The sequence below is a fragment of the Homo sapiens genome, chromosome 1 (assembly GCF_000001405.40).
Source record: "Homo sapiens chromosome 1, GRCh38.p14 Primary Assembly".
NCBI classification, from domain to species: Eukaryota; Metazoa; Chordata; class Mammalia; order Primates; family Hominidae; genus Homo; species Homo sapiens.
In genome coordinates this window covers 92,487,044-92,503,736 of record NC_000001.11, presented here as the reverse complement: position 1 = coordinate 92,503,736, position 16,693 = coordinate 92,487,044, and the positions used below count along the sequence as shown (strand labels likewise).

At 38.9% G+C, this 16,693-nt stretch overlaps 1 annotated feature.

Annotated features, from left to right (window-relative positions):
* Positions 16,606-16,655: an enhancer, noted in NCBI's record as "active region_1316". NCBI's record gives its function as "activates an Ori minimal core promoter by ATAC-STARR-seq in GM12878 lymphoblastoid cells {active_cell/tissue: GM12878}" and the evidence as "EXISTENCE:reporter gene assay evidence [ECO:0000049][PMID:35858748]".

Sequence of the window (16,693 nt, the reverse complement as noted above, 5' to 3'; positions counted from 1 at the left end):
AAAATAGAATTGTTTATTTGTGGGTGAAAATTGGAGACGTTTCTTGTTCATCACCAAACTGCTCTTTGGTGAGACTGGAGACAATGCGTGTACTGGAGCCTAAAGGGTTTGGCACATAGTAAGTGTTCAATCAACAGCAGCTGCTGTTGTTAGCTGAGTTCCCTGAGAAAGATTGTGCATGGCATCTCTGAATTCCCCAGAACCAGTACAGCCTGCTTGGTAAGGAGTTATTGATGTGAATGTTCCTTCTGACTTGACTTCTCATCTGTGTCCTCTGTCCACATGGTATCTCCACATGTTTGCCATGTGTGGCACATTGGAAGTATTGTTTGAGGTGATTGCACAACAGTCTCTACTTTCTGATTGCTAGTAGTGGTAATGATAATAGTAGTTATTATTATACAGTAATATCCTGCATTAGTCAGGATAGGCTGGATTTTACTGTGTTAACAAATACTCTGAAATCTCAGTGGTTTACATCAGTTCTCACTCATGCTGTGTGTCCATCAAATGCTGGCTGTGGCTCTGCTCTATGCTGTTTTTACTCTAGGACCCAGGCTGATGATGCTACTTCTATTTTGAACATTGCTGAGTGTTGTGGCAGAGGGCAAAGGGATACAGTGAACCACATGCTCGTTCCCAAAACTTCTCCCTGGATGTGATATACATCATTTCGAGGCACATTTCTTTTTTTTTTTTTTTTTTTTTTTTTTTTTTTTTTGAGCTGGAGTCTCACTCTGTCTCCCAGGCTGAAGTGCAGTAGCGCGATCTCGGCTCATTGCAACCTCTGCCTCCCGGGTTCAAGCGATTTTCCTGCCTCAGCCTCTCGAGTAGCTGGGACTGTAGGAGTGCATCACCATGCCCGGCTAATTTGTGTGTGTGTGTGTGTGTGTGTGTGTGTGTGTGTGTGTGTGTGTGTGTATTTTTAGTAGAGACAGGGTTTAACTATGTTGGCCAGGCTGGTCTCGAACTCCTGACCTCATGATCCACCCGTCTCGGCCTCCCAAAGTGCTGGAATTACAGGCGTGAGCCACCACGCACGACCAGAGGCACATTTCATTGGCTAAGGTAAGTCACATGCTAAGACATCCCAGGGAGAGGGCAGTGACTATTTGGAAACATAGTACTTACTCTGTGCCAACAAGTACTCTGAGTACATTTTAGAAACAATGGCTTTATTGTGATATAATTCACACACTATAAAATTCAGCCTTTTAAAGTGTACAATTGCATAGTACAGCACAGAGTTGTACAACCATCACCACTATCTAATTTCAGAGTATTTTCAGCATGAAAAAAGAAACCTAATACTCACTGGCAACTACTTACCATTTCCTCTTCTCAGCCCCTGGCAACCATTATTCTACTTTCTGTTTCTATGGATTTGCCTATTCTGGACATTTCATATAAATGAATCATAGAATATGTGGCTTTCTGTGTGTGCTTCACTTAGCATAATTTTTTGAGGCTCATCCATGTTGTAGCATCTATTAGTGCTTCATTGTTTTTTTCTTTTTATTTGCTGAATAATATTCTATCATATGGGTATACCTCATTTTGTTAATCTATTCATCAGTTAATGAAGATTTAGTCTGTTGTCATTTCTTTCCTATGATGAATGATGCTGCAATGAACATTTATGTACATGTTTTCATGTGGACATAGGTTTTCAATTCTGTTGGGCATATACCTAGGAGTAGAATTGCTGGGTCATATAATAATTCCATGGTTTTTTGTTTGTTTGTTTGAGACGGAGTCTTGCTCTGTCGCCCAGGCTGGAGTGCAGTGGCGCTATCTCGGCTCACTGCAAGCTCCGCCTCCCGGGTTCACGCCATTTTCCTACCTCAGCCTCCCGAGCAGCTGGGACTACAGGCACCTGCCACCATGCCTGGCTAATTTTTTGTATTTTTAGTAGAGACAGGGCTTCACCGTGTTAGCCAGGATGGTTTCAATCTTCTGACCTCGCGATCCGCCCGCCTTGGCCTCCCAAAGTGCTGGGATTACAGGCATGAGCCACCGCGCCTGGCCAATAATTCCATGTTTAACATTTTGAGGAATTGCCAAACTGTTTTGAGTGTCTGAAGTATTTTACAATCCCACCAGCAATATATGATAAGGGCTCCAATTTCTCCACATCTTCATCAATACTTACTATTTTTCCTTTGTTTTGTTTTTTTAATATTATTTAATTTTATTTTAATTGAAAAATAACTGTTATATATGTTTATAAGGTACAATGTGATGTTTTGATATATGTTTATAATGTAGAATGATTAAATCAGGCTAAACACTTTATGTCTTTTATTATTTTAACCAACCTAGTGGGTATGAAGTGGAATCTCACTGTGGTTTTGATCTACATTTTCCTAATGACTAATGGTGTTGAACATCTTTTCATGTACTTATTGACCCTTCATATATATTCTTTGGAAAATGTCTACTTAAATCCTTTGCCCATTTAAAAAATTGGGTTATTTGCTTTTTATTGCTTAATTGTAAGAGTTATTTATATATTCTGCATACAAATTCTTTATTAGATATATTATTTGCAAATTTTGCAAATATTTTCTACTATTCCATGAGGTGTCTTTTTACTTTCCTAATGGTGTGCTTTGAAACACAAAACTTTAATTTGATGAAGTCTATTTTATCTATTTTTCCTTTGGTTGCTTGTGCTTTTGGTGTCATATCTAAGAAACCATTGCCTAATTCACGGTCACAAAGATTCACTCCTATGTTTCCTCTAGGACTTTTATAGTTTTAGCTCTTACATTTAGGTTGATGAATCATTTTGTATATGGTGAGAGGTAGGAATCAAGTGCTTTTTAAAATAAATTTTTTGTGTTGGAATAGTTTTAGATTTACAGAAAAGTTGCAAAGATAGTAGAGAGTTTCCATATACCCTTCTCTCAGCTTCCTCTAATATCTAATATAATCATGGTACATTTGTTAAAACTAAGAAATTAAGAATTGCACAATAGTATAAACTACAGACTTTATTCGATTCTACTAGTTTTTCCACCAATGTTTAGGCTGAAAACTTTTATTTATTACACATGGAAGTTTGTGATATTGAATATAATTGGGGAAATTTTCCTATTTTTCTCTCTAATCATAGGGATAGCTTCATAGATTGTAGTTATAGCATATGTTATTGCTACTATGCTTCCTACCATCCTTAGAATGGTTATTATGAATTACACAGAGTTATCCTTTCTCTGGTTTAACTAAGAGCATCCCTCTCCCAGGGCCAGCATACCTGGAGATTAGAGTGGTCAGGGCACTGAGAAGAGTGAAATGGCTGAGAGCGTTCAGATACCTGGTAATTTATCATTAGCTGAATTTTAAATAAACTGCTTTGGATATAGAAAACTCATTGCCAGTTTTCACTGCAAATGAGGGTATCATCTTCCTAGTTAAATGATTTGTCAAGGACTGCTGGGTAGCCAAGAAAACTTAGTAGGATTAATGACAAAAAATCATAAGTGAAATAAGTCAGGTATAGAAAGACAAATACCACACAATCTCACTTATATGTGGAATATATAAAAGCTGAACTCATAAGAGCAGAGAGTAGAATGGTGGTTACCAGGAGTGGTAACCACTCTTGGGATGGGGTTGGGTGGGATGGGATGTTGGTCAAAGGATACAAAATTTCAATAAACAGGAGGAATAAGCTAAAAAGATATGTTGTACAACATGGTGACAATTAATTATTGTCTACTAAGTATTAACTATAGTTAATAACATATTCTGTATTTGAAAATTGCTAAGAAAATAGATATTAAATTTTCTCACTACAAAATAGTAAGTATGTGAGATAATGCACATGTTGATTGGCTTGATTTAGCCTTTCCACAATGTATATATATTTCAAAATATCATGTTGTACATCATAAATATATACCATCTTTATTTACCAATTTAAATTGATGAATGAATAAAACCAAAATCTGGAATGGCTATTCGACCCATATAAAATTAAAGATTTTCTATAATTTTCCTTTGGCTCAAAAGCCATTGCTAGGAACAGTTCTTATTCTTTTTTTATTCTTTTTTTTTTTTTTTTTTTTTTTGAGACAGGGTCTCACTCTGTCACCCAGGCTGGAATGCAGTGGCATGGCAACCTCAACTTCCTGGGCTCAACTGATCCTCCCACCTCAGCCTCCAAGTAGCTGGGACTACAGGTGTGCAACACTACACCTGGCTAATTTTTTTTACTTTTTGTAAAGATGGGGCCTTACTATATTGTCAGGCTGGTCTCAAACTCCTGGGCCCAAGTAATCCACCTACCTTGGCCTTCCAAAGTGCTGGGATTACAGGCATGAGCTACTGCACCTGGCTCCTTATTCTTTTTTCTTTTAATTTAATTTTATTTTAAGTTCCAGTATACATGTGCATGACATACAGGCTTGTTACATAGGTAAACGTGTGCCATGATGGTCTGCTGCACCAACCAACCCATCACCTAGGTATCAAGCGTCACATGCATTAGCTGTTTATCCTGATGCTCTCCCTACCCCCACTCCCACCGACAGGCTCCAGTGTGTGTTGTTCCCCTCCCTGTGTTCTCATTGTTCAGCTCTCACTTGCAAGTGAGAACACGTGGTGTTTGGTTTTCTGTTCCTGTGTCAGTTTGCTGAGGATAATGGCTTCCAGCTCCATCCATGTCCCTGCAAAGGACATGATCTCATTCCTTTTTATGGCTGCACAGTATTCCATAGCGTATATATACCACATTTTCTTTATCCAGTCTATCATTGATGGACATTTGGGTTGATTCCATGTCTTTGCTATTATGAATAGTGCTTCAGTGAACATACTTGTGCATGTATCTTTATAATAGAATGATTTATATTCCTTTGGGTATATACCCAGTAATAGGATTGCTGGGTCAAATGGTATTTCTGGGTCTAGTCTTTGAGGAATCACCACACCGTCTTCCACAATGGTTGAACTAATTTACATTCCCACCAACAGTGTAAAAGCTTTCCTATTTCTCCACAGCCTCTCCAGCATCTGTTGTTTCTTGACTTTTTAATAATCACCATTCTGACTGGCATGAAATGGTATTTCATTTTGGTTTTGATTTGTATTTCTCTAATGATCAGTGATGATGAACTTTTTTCATGTTTGTTGGCCACATGTATGTATTCTTTCAAGAAGTGCCTATGTAATTTGCCCACTTTTTAATGGAGTTGTTTGCTCTTTTCTTGTAAATTTGTTTAAGTTCCTTATAGATTCTGGATATTAGATCTTTGTCAGATGGATAGATTGCAAAAATTTTCTCCCATTCTGTAGGTTGTCTGTTCACTCTGGTGATAGTTTCTTTTGCTGTGCAGAAGCTCTTTAGTTTAATTAGACTCCTTATTCTTTGTAGAGACATTCTGAAATATTTTCAGGAAGAAATGAAATGATATTGGAATTTACTTCAAAGTAGACTAGTGGAGGAGGGAAGCAGTGCAGGGGACAAAAATGAAACATGATTAGCCATGGATTTACTGCTGAAGCTGAGTGATAGATACTTTGGGTATATTTTTCTATTCTCTTAGGTAGAGTTTGATTTTTAAAAATATGTTTGAAAACCTAGATGATGGGGTTGATAGGTGCAGCAAACCACCATGGCACATGTATACCTACGTAACAAACCTGCATGTTCAACACACGTATCCCAGAACTTAAAGTAAAATAAAATTTAAAAAAAAGATGTTCAATATTTTTCATGCAAATAAGCAATAAACAATAAAACATCCTTTGCTGTGAACTTGTGGGAGGACCTGAGGATTTGGCAATGTGAACAATCTCCAAGGAAAGATGAAGGATTGGCATCCCAGATGTAACTTGGCTCATAGGAAGCCCACTCTACCTAACTCTACAAACCATAGTCAATAGCCCAGATTTTTGGAGCCACCAAGCCAGTCTTTAACCAGAGCTCAGTAATGGTCTCCCACTTTAAGCAACTGATTTAAAATGCAAATTCAGTAAAGCACTTGAGGTGCTGGACATATTCTAGATCTTGACTTGGGTATTGTGGTGGTTAATACTGAGTGTCAACTTGATTGAAGGATGCAAAGTATTGATCCTGAGTGTCTCTGTGAGGGTGTTGCCAATGGAGATTAACGTTTGAGTCAGTGGGCTGGGAATGGCAGACCCACCCTTAATCTGTGGGCACCATCTAATCAATTGCCAGCATATAAAGCAGGTAGAAAAATGTGAAAAAATTAGACTGGCTTAACCTCCCATCCTACATCTTTCTCCCGTGCTGGATGCTTCCTGCTCTTGAACATCGGACTCCAAGCTCTTAGCTTTGGGACTCAGACTGTCTTCATTGCTCCTCAGCTTGTAGACAACCTATTGTGGGACCTTGTAATCATGTGAGTTAACACTACTTAATAAATTTCCCTTTATATATATACATGTGTGTGCATGTGTGTGTCTGTGTGTGTGTGTGTGTGTGTGTATCCTATTAGTTCTGTCCCTCTAGAGACCCATGACTAATACAGATTTTGGTACCAGGAGTGGTTCTAGAGGAACAGAATATTAAGGATGGAGTTCTTTTGTTGGTTTTGGGTTTCTGGGGTTGGCTGCTTAATATGATAAGACCCCAAAATGCTAAGGGCTGTAATTCTAATAGTATGGAGAACACTGATAGTCCTTGACGTGAACTGTTTAGAGTTATGCAAAATAAATGCATTTGACACTCCTGATTCACCGCTCATGAGAGGCAAGCAGTGTAGTGACTCTCTACATAATACCTTTGACTATGTGGAGAACCAAGGAACATGGCCGGGTATGGTGGCTTATGCCTGTAATCCCAGCACTTTGGGAGGCCAAGCCACGTGGATCACTTGAGGTCAGGAGTTCAAGACCTGCCTGGCCAACATGGTGAAACCCCATCTCTACTAAAAATACAAAAAAATTAGCTGGTCATGGTGGCAGGTGCCTGTAGTCCCAGCTGCTCAGGAGGCTGAGGCACAAGAATTGCTTGAACCTTGGAGGTGAAGGTTGCAGTGAGCTGAGTTTGTACCATGGCACTCCAGCCTGGGCGACAAGAGCGAAACCCCGTCTCAAAAAAAAAAAAAAAAAATTAATCAGGTGTGATGGCGTACGCCTGTAATCCCAGCTACTCGGGAGGCTAAGGCAAGAGAATTGCTAGAACCCAGGAGGCAGACATTGCAGTGAGCTGAGATCATGCCACTGCAATCCAGCCTGGATGACAGAGCAAGACTCTGTCTCAAAAGAAAGAAAAAAAGAACGAACCTGAACAATAGAAAAGTTTTCCTAGATGAGCAACACAACTCCTTTCTAGTGTAGAAAACAGAAAGGCATGCACTATTCTATATGCAGATAAGATAATTCTTATTATCTGAAACTCAGATCTCCTGATAAAACCCTTTTGGCTAATCACTGTCAGAAAGATTTGATATTTACAAAATAAAATATATATTATATTTGCAAATTTACATTTGGTAGGTATCTGGTAGGTATTTTTCATCTTTTAATTGATTTAGAAATAACAATGTTATAAAAGTCACTTTGTTTAATTACCTTCCTGTACATCACAAATAATCCTGGAGGGCGTGACAGGAAGTAGCCCTACTCATACTAATAACTCTTGATTAAATTAAGATTTTTTTCTATTGGTGTTAATGTTTTAAATTTTGTTTAATGTTAAAATTATGTTGATGTCAAATCTAGTTGGATTATTTGGAAGTTCATTGTACCCATTCTTTAAACTTTTCTCTATTTGCAAATTTGGGGAAATACTATTTTGGTCCTGTTCTATGGATGTGACCTTGTAGGGTCTCATTTGTGTGCTATGCAGACTCAAAACAATTTCCTGGGGTAAAGCTTACACCTGACTTTGGTTTTCCCTTGTGGGTGAGAAAGCCTTTGATACAACCAGCTGTTCTTAGGTACCTCAGCTTTCACAACAGGTCAAACCTACGTTTGAATTGTCTATTAAGGCATATGGATCTGAATTTTAAACAACACAGAATAGAATTCCAGGATTTCGCTGAGAGTATAATCTCATCCTGTCATCAAATATTTATTAAAAACTCAGTAAGGAGAAGCAATTTTCAGAGAGGATTATTTGAAGCATATAAGGATTATTTCAGACAGTCTAGTCTCAAACACATCCATGGATTAAACCAGATCAGTAGACAGCTGGTACCTTGCTAGACAGTGTCATAGTTTCCCAAAGTATAGTTTTTATCAAATTGCACTTTTGTGTGATGTCAACAATGTATATTGAGTGTTATGGGAAATAACATTTGTTGCATTTATTTTAAGATTGTGTAAGAACACTATTAATTTCTATCACAATAACTACTTTTTAGGATCGCAGTGGGAAATATGTCTGTTCTTCCTGGTACCAAGAACAGTTAATAGTCATAGTTATCTCAATTTTGTGATTAAGGAGAGAAGTGGGGAAAGGAGGGAGGGAAGAGAGGGTAAGAGGAAGGGAGGGAGGGAGGAAAGGAGGGAGGAAGGCAAGGAAGGAAGGAAGGAAGGAAGGAAAGAAGGAAAACATTTCCACCTGCCCTCCAACTTCCTCCTCAAAGAATCCCAGCAAAAACAATGAGTAGTTTGGGTTAGAGAAGCATTGTGGAATATGCCAAATGCTTTCTACAATCCAAACTGCTAAATGCTTCTCAAACCAGAGGCAAAAATATCTTTGTGCAAAAAGTAGATCTCGTTATTCTGCAGCCGGTAGAATATTTTGATGCTGCAAAATCCTAACCCCAGCCTCATATCAGGTGGGTTTCAGAACTATAGTGGCAACTGTGCAAAGTGCTGACTGGTCAAAAGAAAAGTCTTGTATCCCAGGCCAGACAGCCATCTCAGAGGCCTGGGATAGGAGGGAAACATTCTTTATTTATTTGCTCCTTTATTCACCTTCCTTGCTACATTCACTTCTGAGTGAGTTGAAGGAGAGCAGAGACCCCATATCCAATCTATGTACCTCACATCTGGCATGGCGTATGACAAAGATTGTTCAGTAAATATTTGTTGACTTGAACTGTACAACTGAGTCCACAAACTCTGTCCTCCTTTAGGACATGTGCCAGCACTGGGACTTTCCATTCCTCAGGCCTCAGTGACTGCTTTTAAACCAACCTCCACACTGGTCACCCCTGGGTCAGCATCCTGAGCAGAGTTTATGCCTGGTGTTTCCTTGTCTCCACCACCCCATTATTTCTTCCACTATCGAACAAAGTGACTGTGAGGTACATGAGCAAATCTCTGATTTGTACAGAAGCTCTGTTCATTCTCCAGCTGATGAGGGGTGGGGGGTATGTGTACGTGTGTGTGTGTAGGTGGCGTGTATGTTCATGTGGGTTTTTTGTTTGTTTGTTTTTTGTGTTTTTTGTTTTGTTTTGTTTTTTTCAGATGGAGTCTCGCTCTGTCATCCAGGCTGGAGTGCAGTGGCACGATCTTAGCTCACTGCAACCTCCACCTCCCAGTTTCAAGCGATTCTCCTGCCTCAGCCTGCCAAGTAGCTGGGACTACAGGTGTGCACCACCACACCTGGCTACTTTTTGTATTTTTAGTAGATACAGGGTTTCACCATGTTGGCCAGGCTGGTCTCAAACTCCTGACCTCAGGTGATCCACCCACCTTGGCCTCCCAAAGTGCTGGGATTATAGGCTTGAGCCACTGCGCCTGGCCCTTCATGTGTTTTAATTAAAGCTCAAATGAAAACTCATGACAGTCCCTACTGATAAATTGCTCCTTGCCAGACAGTAAGAACAGTTGAGAATATTTTAGGAAGAGGCAATGATCCCCTAGCACTTCTCTACCAGCCTCAGCTCAGATGAACTGCTTGGCTTTATGGGGACACAGACCATGACAGTTGGAAGTGATCCTTGGAAAGCCTCCTGTGGGAGATAAGGTCCAGGAGCTCAGGAAGGGAGCCTGAGTCTCTCAGGTCTAATTGGGATATCAGAAATCCATATAAAAATGGCCGGTCATGGTGGCTCACGCCTGTAATGCCAGCACTTTGGGAGGCCGAGGTGGATGGATCACCTGAGGTCAGGAGTTCGAGACCAGCCTGGCTAACATGGTGAAACCCCCTCTCTACTAAAAATACAAAAATTAGCTGGACGTGGTGGCAGGCGCCTGTAATCCTAGCTACTCAGGAGGCTAAGGCATGACAATCGCTGGAACCCAGGAGGCGGAGGTTGCAGTGAGCCAAGATCGCACCACTGCACTCCAGCCTAGGTGACAGAGCGAGACTCTGTCTCAAAAAATAAAAAATAAAAAAAAAAAGAAATCCACATAAAAATGCTTCCTGGCAAGTCTCAGGGGCTGCCTGCAGTGCACAAACCTACTGCCCCTACAATGGGAGGCCTTGAGGCCTACCTCCTGCAGCAGTCCAGGGTCAGGAGTCAGGCTGGCCTGCGTTGGAATCAGGACTCTGTCCTTCTCTGGCTATGTGATCTGGGGAAGGCAAGCCTCTCTGAGTCTATTCCCACAGCCTGTTCATTGGGATGGTTAGAGATAATGTACATAAAAAGGGCCGCCAATAGTGCCTGTTGTAATAGTGACAATAACTAACACTTAGTAAATGCCTACTCTATGCTTTACATGTATTAACTCATTGAATCTGTTCCAGAATCTATGAAGTAGGTGTTGTTATTGTAACCATGTTTGCAGATGAAGAAACTGAAGTACAGAGAGGTTAAGGAACTTGTTTAAGGATAGAAGAAGGCAGAGCCAGAATTTCCAGACATTAGAAATCTGGCTTAGAGTCCATGCTCTTAATTGCTACACTCTTCTGCCTCTTAGCTACTGTGGTATTTATAATTTTTCTTGGCAGGGGTGTAATTATTACAATCATTCAGGAAAATAATTTCTCAATATGTGTCCATAGACTTGAAAATGTTCCTAGCCTTTAGCTGGGCATGGATGCTCACACCTGTAATCCCAGCAGTTTGGGAGTCCAAGGCAGGAGGATCACCTTGAGGCCAGGAGTTCAAGACCAGCTTGGGCAACATAGTGGGCCTACCTCTACAAAACAAACATACAAACACATAAAAAACAAAACACAACAAAAAGGAGGTTCCTAACCTTTGATCCAGGAGGGGAATCACTTCTGGTTATGAATCCTAAAGAAAGAATCCTACATATAGAAAAACCCAGGTACAATTAAAAAAAAAATCACAGCATCATTTATAGTAGGGAAAAAGGGAAATAATCCAACTGTCCAGTAACATAATAAATAAGATCACAGCACATCATCTAAATGGACAATTATACAATATCATCATAGTAGACTCTTTTTTTAAGACTGGGGGGAAAACACTCTGAAATATTACTAGAGGTTGAACTAAGGTAGTGAGATATGGAGCTGTATTTTTACTTTTTATTTTGTCTACTTTACAAATGTTCTATTGAATTAACATAACTATGCTGCTTTCAGCAACTTAAATACTATTATTTTCTGACCTTTGGATGAGCAGCATGCCTGCCAAGTCCACACTGTTGGGAGTGATGGGTTGGGCCTTGCAGCAGGAGAGGAGGGAATGTGTCTCTCCTCCACCATCCCATCCTTACTACCTCTCAAGTCTGTGACAGGCACGTGACTTTTGGCTCCAGGCTTTTCTACCCTATGCTGGATGTGAAACAAGTAATGTGATTTGGTGGAAAGAAACAATATTTGGAATCAACAGATTTGGTTGGAATAAGAAAGCTGCTAGTTATCAGAACCTGGGCTTCTTAAACCACTGGTGTCTCCCCCTTTTTTTTTTCCCTTCCTTTCCCACGTATGGACCACTGGTGTCCTTATCCATAAAACAGAAATGACCAGAATGCCTGCCTTGGAGAACTCCCAGCATTTCTTTCTCTTCTATGAAGCCCAGGATAGCAGCTGAGGTGGAACATCCAGTGGGCTGCATCTACCTATCATCAGTTCATGCTGTCCTTCTGTCTGTCTCTTTGGGCGAGCCTGAGGTTGTTCATGTGGGATGATCCTCCAAGCCCCGCCTCATGCAGACAGCAGCGGCCAGAGATTTTCAGAAGCCTCAACTCCCACCTTACCTCCAGATATGGGGTCATATATTTCCTTTAAGGGAGTTGTGTTTTGTGAGTAATTTTTAAAATTTACAATATATAGGCTGTACTATTTTAAAGTGAAGTGTTTCATCTGGGGTAGGGTGAACTAATCACCAAACATACTGGAGGAAATGGTGAAAAACTCAAAAGAAAGATAATTTTTGCATTTTCTCTCGTTTGATTTTCCATTCACAAAGCAAACTATACTCCTTTTTTTTCCTATAAAAGTTCACACTGGCTGTGTTTCTATGAGGAGTCATATCACATAGCTCACAGTAAGATGACACTTCGTTCAATCTATTCTTAGGAACAATGTAAAAATACGTATGTGGTGAGATTAACAATTTTCTTATTTGAACTCTGAACACCAAAGCTGACAGTCTCCTCCCTCTTCAGATGTTTGAAATCCTTTATGTAAAAGCCTAATTTAAACTTTATAGTAATAGATAATATTTTTAAATGTAATGAGATTTAAATATATCAGTCCCAAAATGTTTATTAAAAGCAAATGTTTTTCTTCATGTTTGAAAAGTAAAAAATATTAATACAAAGTTGGTTCTTATACCTTAAGTCTTCTATTAACTTATCTCCATGTTTCTCCTTTACTTAATTTCCCAATTTTTGCATGAGCTGGTACAAAAAACATTACCCACTTCCCACAAATGATGGTACCATTAAATCGTATTCTGACTTATGGTGTCAGTGGAATTCTATTTTGATAGCCTGCTTCTTATAAGATTAGAAGGGGATAATTATATTACCTGTCATTCAAGTTAAGGCATCACACAGTTATCAGTTTGCATTTATTTTCTTTGAATTAATACAATTAAAATATATGTAATTCTTATTTCAGTTTGACTACACCTATCATGACACCTAATCCAAAGACAAAAATTAAATAGTTTGTTAGTATACATGAGGATAAAACCATGGCAATATGACAGGGTGTGGTTCTAACAAGTACTTCCTGTACATAAAATAAAGACCAGTTCTATATCTGGTCTTTAATCCAAGTCAAACTTTTCCTTAGTTTATTTTTGTAGTCTTTTAACTGTTAAGTGGTATGAATTCTTTTGGCTTATGCATTACATAAGCGCCATCCATAAAACTTGTTCTGGTATGTATCAAGGACCGTACAAATAATCATTGTTGGATCTAGAAATTTCACCCCTAAAAATATATCCTAAGGAAATAATTCCAAATGTAGGGAAAGCTATATTCAAAAATCTTTTCATTGTATTACTTAAAATAGTAAAAACTCGAAACAAGCTAAATAGTAAGATGAGAGTGATTGAGTAAATTATAGTAAACTAGCTGATAGAACTTTTTTATAGCAATTGAAAATGAAAGATTGTATATAAAAAGCAAGGAAGATGATTGTCATGATTTTTATTTAAATAATTTTTACTATAAAAAGTTTATATTCCATTTAAGAAAACAGGAAAATAAAGAGAATAGAAAAAAGAAAAATAATTATAATATTCGGGAAGAAAAGCAGACTACTCAGTTGTATCTGTAATACGATTATAATTTTTGTTAAATAATAGAGCAAGAATACTTGAAAGTTGTTTTACAGAGTTTTATTCTTTTCTTATCAGATATATGTAGCATAATTTGTAATATAGTCTTATTTATATTATTATTTATAATATACAAATAATATAGCATAATTTCTTATACGTTTATATTTAAAACTCAGAAACCCTCATTTGGAGCATTCTCCCATTCTTGCTGCCCAAATGAACAGGTAAAGAGTGCAAATTAAAAGATTGTTCCAGCTGGGCATTGTGGCTCATGCCTGTAATCCCAGCACTTTGGGAGGCTGAGGCAAGTGGATCACGAGGTCAAGAGTTCAATACCAGCCTAGCCAACATGGTAAAACCCCGTCTCTACTAAAAATACAAAAATTAGCTGGGCGTGGTGGTGCATGCCTGTAATCCCAGCTACTCGGCAGGCTGAGGCAGGAGAATCGCTTGAACCCGGTAGGTGGAGGTTGCAGTGAGCAGAGATCACGCCACTGCACTCCAACCTGAGCAAAAGAGCAATACTTCATCTCAAAAAAAAAAAAAAAAAAAAGGTTGCTCCACAGTCTTGCGTGGTAGGTACCAGTATTCCGACTTTACAGGTGAGAAACAGGCTGAGAGTTGAGCTAACTTATCCAAGGTCTCAAAGCTGGTACTAGCAGAACAGAGATTGACAATCACATCTTACTAGCTTTTGAATGCCTGAACTCTTTTTTCCCTTCCTGGTATCATCATGGTGAGAATCAAATGAGGCAAACATAGAAATGTATTCTGGAAATGGGGGTATTGCCCCTCCCTGGGGTTTCAGGATCACCCACTTTTCCCATGCCGTCCCACAAAGGACAGAGATCATAATTGTAAAGCTTTGTGAAAAAATAAACAAGATACTGGTAATATCCTGTTACAATTTTCTTTTTGAAAATGTCTCAGCCAGGCACAGTGGTTCACGCCTGTAATCCCAGCATTTTGGGAGGCTGAGGCAGGAGGATCATTTGAGGCCAGGAGTTTGAGACCAGCCTAGGCAACATAACGAGACTCCATCTCCACTTTTTTTTTTTTAATGTCTCAAATCTTCTGTTGTAGGGAAATTCTGATCTATGAGAGGCTGCTTGAAATAAATGGGCTACTGGCCAAGGCTTGGAAATGTTTGTGGTATGAGAAGGTCAGTTGTTATTTGGCATCGACAGATACATTATTATTGCTATTTAGAAACAATTAGTTTCTAAATATTTGAAACAATTAGTTTCAAATTATTGAAAAGGCAGTAAATGTAAAATTATTCCTTTGGAAAGACCCTATTTATAGAAAATTGTGCCTCAGGTATACATTTTGCTTACCATTAGATCTATTTCAATTCCAAAGGAATATATGGAGGGAGAGGGAGTATTTGTAGCTTCTAAAAATGTTCATGGAGGGGTGGCTTATTCTCTTTGCCCTTAGTTTAATAGAAGCAAGAGGTAGTTTGGAGTAGCAGGAAGTCAGAGATGGGTTCATTGTATCGTTATTTCTAGTCCTAGCTCTTCACTGTCCTTGGCAAGGTTCTTAACCTCTCTGGGTTCCCCTCTTCTTACCTTTCTCCTATTCTTCCCCAAGTGTGGGAGTCACACTTCAACACTATACACCCGGGAGTGTTGTGTTGTTAAAAAGTATTGTTAAATACTTTTTAAACGTGTTGAATACTTGTTAAATACTTTTTAAATGTGTATTTATTTATTTGAGTTAGTACTACATACACATGGTTCAACATGTAAAAGACATAAAGGGAAATTCAGTGCCATCTCCCTCCCACCTGCTCCTTTCTGCGTGTCCCTGTTCCAGTTCTCAGTTTTCTTTTTCAAACTCAGAAATCCCAAGAGTCTGTGAAGGGCAAATGAAAAGCAAAATGACTAGACTAAATCTGAATGAAAGGGATTTATTCTAAGGTGATACTGCTCACTGCTCAAGGTGCTTATCTGCCCCCTTCATGGGCTCCCTCAAGTTTTCTGAGACTTCAAACAGCAACACTCAACTAAACTATAAAATAGTCACAGCACCTTTTCGAGAAATTTTGACTTTGAACTTGCTAATATGCAAAGGAAATAGTCCAACCATTTCTCTAGAACTTGGTTGATAAGAAATTTTATTTTGTCCCATTTATAATTTTATTCTAAAAATTTGTTTTTTTCTGCTATCGAGTAGGAGAGAAGGGAATAAGGGAAAGATTTGTTTTTGCACTACTGTGAGATTTTTATACCTTAGGCCAGGACAAAGCACACAAGAAATAAAATATTAACAAAATGTCCTTAATTTTCCTTTCTGACCAAAATTGCTTGCCTCTGCATTTATATATAAAGAAGGGATGTGTTGAGCAAATGAAGGAGGACAGCTAGGCAGACAAGATTTGCCCAGCGCCTGGCATACAATAGGGGCACAGGTCATTGCTTAACAAAACGTATAATTTATTAATACATGCTCGAAGCACTGCTATACTAACCAAATATTCCCTGCAAAATTTTAAATTTACAGTGCAAAATAAGAATAATTTAAAAACTGTTTCTAGAAAAAGAGCTTTAAGGGCTTCCCCCCCCATAACAATTTAAGATTAACCTAGAACATGGTAGTTATTTTGCAAGAACTGGGGAGCACCACTCTCTTCTCCTTGTGCATGTCTGACATTGGAGGCCTATTGTGCACGAAGTTGTGATCAAAATCCAAGTCAATTCATTTTGAAAAGTAACATGACTACAACATCCATCCACTCCAATGAGCAAAGGGTGTAGGCTTTGAGTATACACAGCAGGCCACACACTATGGGTCATGGCATACAGTCTAGCGTTGGAGGTTGCTGCATTTGTTCATGTATCTATGAGTTAGGTTTTAAGTTTTTTCCCCCTGTTCTATTAATATAATTAATTAGTTAATTAACCCCACTCATTCATTTACTCAGTCCACAGCCTTTTGTTAAGAGCCCGCCTAGGACATAAAGATGAAGATCCAGTGCCTACCCTCATGAAACATAGAATCCGAGCGAAGAAGGCTTACTTTGCAATAGTCATCCAAGTGGTGCTTTTATGGCGCTTTACTGCTCCCGCCAACACCCAGTGCCTGGGTATGACCTCAGGCGGTGGCAG